Here is a 10987-nt window from a genome sequence, read left to right as displayed (position 1 = left end):
TGCGGCATGAATACCTCTAGGCTTCTCAGAAGGAAATTTAGAACAAAGAAAGGAAGTCAGAGTTCAGTCCTCAGTTTCCTTATCTGAGGTCTACATGTCAGCAGGCAGCAATTTTTGTTTGGTAGGAGTCTAGGTTTCTGAGAAACCATTCAGGGACCCATGTTACGATGCTGTCTTTAGTTTCTATTGAGAACCAAACATTTTGTGGCTCTAATTTCCTTGGATATTATTTTAAGGTATTATTATCTTCTTGTTTATCAGATTGCTGATTTACTTCTCATGGCTAGCCGGGTGCCTGAAAATTCCGCTGGAAGAACTCAAGATTTTCCTTTTATTCCATGCTTTGAGGCAGAGAGGTAACTGGCAGGTGCCTAAGAGGGGTCACTGCGCCATCTCATAAATAGCCTATATTTTTATTCTTTTTAAATTTCTTTTAATTTATTTCAATTTTATTCTGAAATCTCTAACTTAAAATTTGTCTCTATTTTGCTATTTTTGCATTTTTAGAATTATTGCTATTTTGTATTCTTAGAATTATTAATCTTACCTTTTCATTTATATTGCCCAGAAGTTTTTGGATTATTTTATTTTTTCTACTTGCTTGTATATTTTATTTTTATTTCATATTTACATACATATATATATAATTTTGGATTGGGGGTGCATGTGCAGAATTGTTACACTGATATAATACTTAATAAAGATATTTGTATATTTTAAGTTTTCTTCTTAATTACCTCTGGAATTCTATAATGCGTAACAACTTATCAAAGCATAAGGGTCAATCAGTGTAATACACTTGCAAATAATACAACAGTTTTAGAGCTCATCATATTCTTGGAAAACAATCCTTAAGAAGCAATCATTTTCTCTTGTGTAGTTTATGTCTTCTGGTCTCTGTTGTTGCTGTTGAGAATATTGCCTAATAGTCTTTATTTTTTACATTTTTTTCTTTTGGGTACATTGAAATACCTTTTCTTTATATTTGCTTTTCTGAAGTTTTTATTTTTGGAAATATTTTTATTTACTTTGTTTCAAATATATTCTGCTTTTGATGTCTGTACATTCAAGTGTTTTGTCCTTTCCAAATAATCTTCATCTACTGTTTTTTCAAATATGTCAAGATTCCATTTTCTCTATTTTTTTTTCTATTGGGAGTTACACCTGGATTTACAGTCACCCTTAACCTTTTATCCTCAATATCTCTTCCTCATTTTTTCTCTACATAAAAGAGAAAATGGGAAAAGAACATGTTTTTTGCTGTTTTCAGAGTAATAGCTTCAAATCTAACTTCTAGTTCACAAATATCTCTTTCAGGTGAATCTGTCTATTGTTTAAACTATCTAAAGACTTAATTATTGTTATTATTATTTACTCATTTTTATAGATTCAGGGGGTACATGTCAGGTTTGTTACATGGATATATGTTGTTACATGGATATATTGTGTAATGGTGAGGTTTGGGCTTCCAGGGTTCCTCTCACCCAAAAAGTAAACATTGTACCTTATAGGTAATTTTTTTAACCTTCACCTTCCTTCAAAACTCCCCCTTTTTGAAGTGCCCTGTGTCTTTATTTCAGTCTGTATGTCCATGTATACCTATTGTTTAGCTCTAACTTATAAGTGTTAACAGGCAGTATTTGATTTTCTGTTTCTGACTTATTTCACTTAGAATTATGGCCTCCAGTTCCATCCATGTTGGGACAAAAGACATGATTTAATCTTTTTATGGCTGTGTAGTAGCTCCTGGTGTATCTGTACCACATTTTCTTCATCCAGTGCACCACTGACGGATATATAGGTTGATTCCATGACTTTGCTAAACAATGAGATAAACATACATATAGTGCAGGTGTCTTTTTTACGTAACAATTTATTTTCTTTTGGGTAGTTACCAGTAGTGCAATTGCTGAGTTAAATGGTAATTCTATCTTTAGTTCTTTGAGAAATTTCCATACTGTTTTTCATAGAGGTTGGACTAACTTACATTCCCACCAACAGTGTATAAATATTTTTTTCTCCACATTGTTACCAACAACATCTGTTGATTTTTTTTTTAATTTTTTTACTTTTTAGTAACACCCATTCTAACTGGTGTGAGATAGTATCTCATTGAGGTTTTAATTTGCATTTCTCTTATGACTAGTGATATTGAGCATTTGTTCATGTTTGTTGGCTCCTTGTATGTCTTCTTTAGAGAACTGTCTGGTCATAACCTTCGCCCGCTTTTTCTTAGGGTTGTTTTTTGTATGTTGAATTGTTTTGAGTTCCTTGTAGACTGTGGATATTTGTCCTTTGTTGGATGCATAGTTTACAAATATTTTCTCCCATTCCTCAGGTTGTCTGTTCACTCTGTTAAGTCTTTTGCTGTGCAGATGCTTTCAAGTTTAATTAAGTCCCATTTGTCTATTTTTGTTTTTGTTGCCTCTGCTTTTTAGGTCTTAGTCATAAATTCTTTGCCTAGGGCAGAGTCCAGAAGAGTTATTTCTCAGCTTTTTTCAAGTTTTTTTTTATAGTTTTGGGTCTTAGATTTAAGTATTTAATCCATCTTGAGTTAATTTTTGCACATGATGAGAGACAGGTTCCAGCTTCATTCTTCTGCATATGGCTATCCAATTCTCTCAGCACCATTTGTTGAAGACAGTACCCTTTTCCCATTGTATGTTTTTATCAACTTTGTAAAAATCAGTTGGCTATAGATATGCAGCTTTATTTCCAGGTTCTGTACTCTGCTCCAATGGTCTTTGTGTCTGTTTCTGTACCAATACCATGTTATTTTTGTTACTATAGCCTTGTAGCATAATTTGAAGTTGGGTAATTTGACACTTCCAGCTTTGTTCTTTTTGCTTAGGACTGCTTTGGCTATTGAGGTTCTTTTTTGGTTCCACAAGAATTTCAGAATTTTTTTTCCTAATTTTGTGAAAAATGATGTTGGTAATTCAATAGGAGTTTCATTGAATCTGTATATGCTTTGAGCGATATGGTCATTTTAACTATATTGATTCTTTCAATCTATGAACATGGGATGTTTTTCCATTTGATTGTGTCATCTATAATTTCTTTTATTACTACTGTAGTTCTGCTCTTAGAAATTTTTCACCTTCTTGGTTTGATGTATTCTTTTTTATATTTTTGTGGTCATTGTAAATTGAATTGGGTTCTTCATTTGGTTTGCAACTTGAACACTCTGTATAGAATGTATAGAAATACTACTAATTTTTGTACATTGATTTTTGTATGCTGGAACTTTACTAAAGTCATTTCTCAATTCTAGGAGTCTTTTGGAAGAGTCTTTAGGGTTTTCTATTTGTAAAATACCATGTCATCAGCAAACAGAAATAATTTGATTTCATTTTTTTTTTCCAATTTAGAGGCTTTTATTTCTTTCTCTTGCCTGATTTCTCTGGCTAGGACTTCCAGTACTATGTTAAACAGGAGTGGTGAAAGTGGATATACTTGTATTTTTCCAGTACTTTTCATCTTTTCCTCATTAAGTATGATATTACTTTGGGTTTGTTGTATATGGCTTTTATTATTTTGATGTATGTTCCTTCAATGACCAGTTTGATGAAGATTTTCTTTTTATCATAAAGGGACGTTGGATTTTATTAAATGCTTTTCTGCATCTATTGAGATGATCTATGATTGTTGGTTTTAATTCTGTTTATGTGGTGAATTACACCTATTGATTTGGATATATTGCATTCCTGAAAGACAACCCACTTGACTGTGATGTATTAACAGACAACCCACTTGACTGTGATGTAGTAACAGACAACCCATTTGACTGTGATGTAGTAACAGACAACCGACTTGACTGTGATGTAGTAACTTTTTGATGTGCTGTTAAATTCAGTTTGCTAGTATTTTATTGAGAATTTTGCTACTATGTTCATCAATGATATTAGCCTGTAGGTTATTTTTGTTGTTGTGTTCTTGCCTGATTTTGGTATCAGGGTGATACTTGTTTCATAGAATGAGTTAGGGAGGAATCCCTATTCCTTGATTTTTTTGGAATAATTTTTAGTAAGATAGGTACCAGCTCTTCTTTGTGTAATGCATCTGGTAAAATTGGGCTGTGAATCTGTCTGGTTCTGGGTTTTTATTTGTTAGGAGATTATTAATTACTGACTCAATTTCATTTCTTATCATTGGTCTGTTCAGGGTCTCTATTTCTTCCTGGCTCAATATTAGGAGATCGTATGTTTCCAAGAATTTATCCATTTCCTCTAGATTTTCTAGTCTGTGTGTGTAGAGATTCTCATTGTAGTCTCTGATTATCTTTTTCATTTTTGTGGTACCAGTTGTGATATCACCCTTATCATTTCTGATTGTGTTTATTTGAATTTTCCCTCTTTTTTTCTTGGTTGGTCTAGTTAGCATTCTATCAATTTTATTTATCTTTTCAAAAAACTAACTTGTCATTTCATTGATCCTTTGTATCTTTTTTTTTTTTTTTTTTGGTCCCAATCTAGTTCTGCTCTGATCTCTGTTATTTTTTTTCTTCTGGTAGTTTTGAGTTTGTTCTTGTTTTTTAGTTCCTTGAAGTGTGGCATTAGGTTGTTAACTTGAGAACTTTATATCCTTTTGATGTAGGCATTTAGTGATATAAGCTTTCCTCTTAGCATTGCTTTTGCTGTACCTCAGAGGTTTTGATGTGTTGTGTGTATTTTCATTTACTTAAAAATTTTTTGAATCTTGGCCTTAATTTCATTATTTAACAAATGATTATTGAGGAACAAGTTGTTTATTTTCCATATATTTGTATAGTTTTGAGAGTTGCTCTTGGTATTGATTTCTAATTTTATTCCACTGTGCTCCAAAAAGATACTTGATGTGATTTCTACTTTTTAAAAATTTATTGAGACTTGCTTCACAACTAAGCATGTGGTCTATCTTGGGGAATATTTCATGCACAGATGACAAAAAAATATATATTCTACATTTGTTGCGTATAATGTTCTGTTAATGTCTACTAGGTCCCTTTGATCTACAGTCCAGTTTAAATTCAGTTTCTTTTGATTTTCCATCACAATTATCTGTCTAGTGCTGTTGGTGACATGTTGAAGTCCCCTAATTTTATTATACTGCTATCTGTTACAGAGATTTTGATTTATCATTTATATTTTCTTAATTCAAAAGGAGTTGTTTCTTTTCCAAAACTTCCTGTTTATTTTCAGTATGTGTTTTAGGTAAAATCTTATTAATTTGAACTTTTTTCATATATTTAAAAAAATTCCTTGTGTGATCATTTGAATTCATAGTCCTTATGCACCTATGTCTGTGTTTCTTCTGACTTGTCCATGGTGGCTTGGGAATCTTTGACAATCATCTCAATCAGTGACATTACTCTTGGCCCTAATCGTGAATAATTTTCTTCAGAGAAAATTAGCATTTATATTTGCCAAGATACAAGAGATACTGCAAAGCTGGGAATAACTTAGCTCCAAAGGATGTGGATTCAATGTGAATGACTCTGGTTAATTTAAGTCTTCATATGCACTGGTCCCAGATTTAGTCTTCAAACTTGCACACATTTAAGCATTTATCTTTCAGGGAAGTGTTCCTGCTTTAGTTGATTTATTAGTCATTGCTCGCACTTCTTATTTCAGTTCATGGCATTTTATTTTATTGTTCTTTTGGGAGCAGGATGGAGCATCCTTGGAAACACAGTGACTCTTTGTGAGCCAGCAATATTGAAAATATGTTTTATCCAGAATATAGTAGTTCTGTAACAGGAGGTTTTTTAAGAGTATCTTGCCCAATACACTGCAGAAAGCAAAATTCTGTTGATCATGCATTTTTAGCATATTTGATTTTAGCATTATTGTTTGAATAGTTCCAAACTAATACCTTATCTACAATATTTAAATTTAAATGCCTTCTACAAATAAATTCAAAATATTTCAAATAGAAAAACTGTCAGCTGGTCAGGTGCGGTGGCTCCTGCCTGTAATGCCAGCACTTTGGGAGGCCGAGGCGGGTGGTTCACAAGGTTAGGAGTTTGAGACCAGCCTCACCAACATGGTGAAACCCTGTCTCTACTAAAAATACAAAAATTAGCCCGGTGTGGCAGAGTGCGCCTGTAATCCCAGCTACTCAGGGGGCTGAGGCAGGAGAATCTCTTGAACTCGGGAGGCAGAGGTTGCAGTGAGCCGCCATCACACCACTGCACTCCAGCCTGGGCAACAGAGCAAGACTCTGTCTCAAAACAAAACAAAACAACAACAACAACAAAAACTGTCAACTAGGAAATGCAAACAAGAGACACATTTTATAGACATTCAATAGGTAACAGAGGAAATTTAAAATTTTACCTATAGGTGTAAAATGTTGTTAATATTTTAGAAACATATAGCCATATCACCTTTATTCTATTTAAAGGTATCTCCTTTTAACTAATTGAACGCCTCTTGTATTAAAAATTATTTAGCAACCAACTTTTTTTTTTACTTTTTTAGTCACATACTCAGCAAATGAGATCCTGTCATTTGCAACAATATGAATGCAACTGGAGATTATTATGTTAAGTGAAATAAGCCAGGCATAGAAATCACATGTTCTCACTTATTCATGGAATCTAGAACTCATGAACATATAAAGTGGAAGGATGATTACTAGAGGCTGGGAAGAGTAATAGGGGTTTGGCGTGGGAGGTGAGGATGGCTAATGGGTACAAAAAAAAAAAAGAAAAAATAAGACATGCAAATTGATAGCACAATAGGGTGACTATAGTCAATAATAACTTAATTGTATTTTTAAAAATAAATAGTGCAATTAGATTGTTTGTAACATGAAAGATAAATAATTGATGGGATGGATACTCCATTTTCCTTGATATGCTTATTTAACATTGTGTGTCTCTATCAAAACATCTCACATACCCAATAAATATATACAACTATTATGTACCCACAAAATTTTTAGAAATAATTTTTTAAAAATTTTAAACCAAAATAAATAAAATCTCAGGATGCATAGAAACTGTAGTTTATTTTTATGGTAAACAATTAACTGTAGGAATCTTGCTCAAAAACTTGTACTAGATTTTAATAGCATATTTGGAAACCATATGATATTATGTGTAAATATATATTTATATATTTGAAAATGCCAATTGTAAAATATATAATAGAGACTTTTAAATGACCATAAAATCAAATGATGCCTTTATCAAGTATAACTTGATTTCTTTAGTGTACATTTAAAGTGATGAAGAGATTTAAAATGAGTTTTAAAATTCCTGTTACATAGCAGATTTATTGTCTATAGTTAAGGGCTTTTGACTCTCTGGAAAAAAAAAAACAAGACAAGTATGTCTTAGTAAAAGGATGATGACTCGTCACAGAATTTCATTGGAATATACTCTGTACGTTCCAAGTTCCAAAAGTATTTAACAATTTTCATTAAATTAACAAAGGGACAGAGCAGTGTGAAACAAATTTAAAATACAATACAACAATATTGAGAGCAAAAGCTACCCTGGTTTTAGATTTAGATGATTTTTAATGCCTTATATCTACAGAGAACTGTATAATATTTAATCAGTTTTACAAATGTGAACTCACAGACTTAACTCTTCAGGCTGTTTTCAAAATGTGTTTATAAAGTCATTAAGGGGTTAGTGACCAATGAGGACAACTTTAGTTGTTCCATGTTCTCCTTTTTCATTGTTTGTTTCTACCTTTCTTGTCTGCCTTCTATTTCTCCCTCTTTCCTTTACCTTTCTTGAATATTTATGTCTTCAGTTATTAATTGAACTTGCAGTGTGTGTTAACAGCTTCATTCAATGTGAAGAAGTAAAGTTATGTCCCCTGGGTAATAAAGTATTATGAACTACTGGATAAAACATTGAGAAACAGCAGTAAAATAACAGTAAAAACCAGCATATACTATTATGGGAATAGTCAAATATCAATAAATGCAGTGGTGACATCCTCCAAGTATAAACAGAAAACATATGTGCTTAGGTGTAACCCATTTTATATATTAACTTGTTGAAAACAACCTCATTACATGAAAAGGAGTCTAGAAAGAAATAGATCACAGTGGGCTAAATTATCAGTCAAAAACTTTTTTTTAAAGAGCATCTATTTATACTTTAGGTAAGTATAGCATGTAAACAGATAAAAAAGCTAAGGTGGGCTTTCCAGGTGAGAGAAGCAGTGCAAGAAATATAATCACAGAGTTAGAAATGAGAAGATATGTTTAGATCACAATGAATGTATTTACCTAGCTATAAAGCAAGGCTGTATTTATTTCTTTGTTTAATAAATTCTGTGAGAGAGAAGGCTAAAAATACACATTGAGGCAACACTCTTGGAGAACCTCGATTACCCACTGATAGAAGTTTGAAACCGTTCTGGATGCAATTAATTGATTTGAGCAAGTATTTACTGTGAGCATCGTTATGCCACAGCATGACGAATCTCTTTCTACACAATTCTCCAACTTGCAGTCTAACCATCACCTTTCTTTAAGAAACTTTCCTTGGTTGATTTTAAAACCATATCCATTTTCTTCTTAGCACAAAAACATTAAATCTATGAAGATTTCACCTAAAAAAGATGCTTTAGTAATGTAACTATTTCTTTAATTGGAGAAAAATTACAGATTTAAAAAATTGAAATACATGGGACAGGGCTGTATCCAACCTGGTTTTCTGCCCTCGGAGCAGTAAGGGAGGCCCTGTAGGGATGCGAAGGGTGTCATCCCTTTCTTCTTCTTTATAAGGGTTATGGCTGACACTCCTATAACAAAAGACAGGGTAACAAGAGAAAAGCGTAACACATTTAATCATAGTTTTGTGTGACATGAAAGCCATCGGAAATGAAAACCCAAAGGTACACAGTAAGATGTCTGGTTTCATATTCAGGTTTGATGAAGCAGGAACAGCCAGGTAGAAATGTGACTGGATAAAAAGAGTAGGATCTAATAGTAATAGATTGAGAGGAAAACCCAAAAAGGGCTGTTTATTCAGATTCCTCTTGGCCTTTCTGTGCAGCCTTTCTTTCTTCCAGTTCTGGGGCAGGGATCTCCCTGGAATGGGGGTATTACGACCCACAATCAAACGTAGGTCATAGAATTTCTTTATGGCCAGTTCTTACACAAAAATATGTCAGAAAGTTATAATACTATGTTTAGGTTTTATGGCTGGCTTTGGGGAAAGGGAGTTTTTATTTCTATGACCTGCCTTAGGAAAGAGAGCTTTGAGTTTCTATGTCTTGCCTCTGGGAGAATGAGAGGTGAGTGACAGGAGAGCAGGAAAACGTCAGAGATAAACTTTGCTTCTGATGCTGCTTTTGAGGCCTTCTCAATGTAATGTTGTATTCTGAGCCTCAAAAGCTCCAACAGGCGCCTGTAGTCCCAACTGCTGGGGAGGCTGAGGCAGGAGAATGGCGTGAACGCGGGAGGCGGAGCTTGCAGTGAGCCGGGATCACACCACTGCACTCCAGCCTGGGCGACAGAGCGAGACTCCGTCTCAAAAAAATAAAAATAAAAGAAAAAGAAAAAAAAAAGGCTCCAACAGGTAAAGTGAGTAATTATTTACAGAATAGGTCTGGGAAAGGGGTAAATGTATTTATAAAATAAAATGTTTCCTCTGAACATATAATTTTAATGGGAGTTATACTGGGGAAGAATTGAGGTTTACCCTGACATTTATTTCTCATTACTTAATGCCAAATGCCCAAAGCACTTCTGTTTTTATAGGAAATTTGTACTTATCCAATCTCATGTTGCATCAATGTGTTCTAAACTTTACTAGTCTTTATAAATAAATCTAAATCTAACAGCTTTTATTTCCCACTGTAGAAGAGGCAAAACTCTACCTCTCTTTTCTTAGGGTCTCTGGTTGTGCCTGAGACCTAACTTGACATAAGGCAGATTTAACACTAGGAAAACATATACACATTTATTTAATATGGGTTTATGTGACAAGTGAGCCCTCATAAGGAAATGATTACTGAAAGAACTGATAAAACTTAAATGCTTTTATACTAGGTTAAACCAAGAAAGGCAGTTGTGGAAAAGTAAGTAAAATATGTAAGTAAAATTTGCCAGAATGGCATATTTTGCAGTGGTGTGTTCTAAACTCCTTCACCACCTGAAGCAGAAATCTCCTTCGGCAAAAGTCTTCTTCAGAAAATATGGGTATTAACTTCCATGGGTCTTTCAATATGTTCACAAATTATCACCTTGCAGTGAATGAAGACATCCTATGGTCTTTGAATTTAGATTTAAAAATCACTATTTTTTTCCTCTTTATTCTACATGCCCCCACCAGCTCAGTGGAGTTGAATCTGTTATTGGTCTGAAGTGTTGTCACCCCACACCGATGATAAAGCTAAGTGAACGTGTCATTGTAATTCACAAAAAATATAGAGATTTGCTGCCGCCGCAAATCTACTACTAACCAAGGCATGGTTTTTACTGAAAGTCTCTGCCGTGGTTTGGATATGGTTTGTTTGGCCTTTCCAAGTTTCATGTTGATATTTGATCCCCAGTGTTGGAATTAGGGCCTATTGGGAGGTATTTGGGTCCTGGAGGCAGATCCCTCATGAATGGTTTGGCACCATTCTCATGGGAGTGAGTTAGTTCTCACTGTTAGTTCCCATGCAATCTGGTTGTTAAATAAATAAATACATAAAATCTGGCATCTCCCCCTCCTCTCTTCCTTTCTCTCTCACCATGTGATATTCACATGCCATCTCTTCTTCACATTCCTTCATGAGTGGAAATAGTGAGTCCCTAGCCAGAAGCAGATGCTGGCACCACGCTTCTTGAACAGCCTGCAGAACCCTGAGCCAAATAAGCCTTTAAAAAAAAAATTACCCAGCATCAGGTATTCCTTTATAGCAACACAAACAGACGAAGACAGTCCCCAAAACATATGAGGGTTGTTGACATTGAGTGAAAGAAAAGTATACAAAATTATCTCTTAGATTCTCAATATTTAAAAGTTGAACAGAAAACTCAAGAAAATATT

At 33.9% G+C, this 10987-nt stretch overlaps 1 long non-coding RNA gene across 1 annotated transcript in view; it reads left to right on the top strand.

Annotated features, from left to right (window-relative positions):
• The first annotated feature begins 256 nt into the window (after nucleotides 1–256).
• LOC105375149 (uncharacterized) overlaps nucleotides 257–10987 on the top strand; it is a 69718-nt gene continuing 58987 nt past the window's right edge. The window contains exon 1 of the long non-coding RNA XR_001745088.2: nucleotides 257–356. This is a non-coding gene — a long non-coding RNA (uncharacterized LOC105375149). The remainder of the gene's footprint in view (nucleotides 357–10987) is intronic.

This window comes from Homo sapiens, chromosome 7 (genome assembly GCF_000001405.40).
Source record: "Homo sapiens chromosome 7, GRCh38.p14 Primary Assembly".
NCBI lineage: Eukaryota > Metazoa > Chordata > Mammalia > Primates > Hominidae > Homo > Homo sapiens.
Note: the sequence above shows the minus strand (reverse complement) of the source record. Positions and strands in the feature narration are given on the sequence as shown.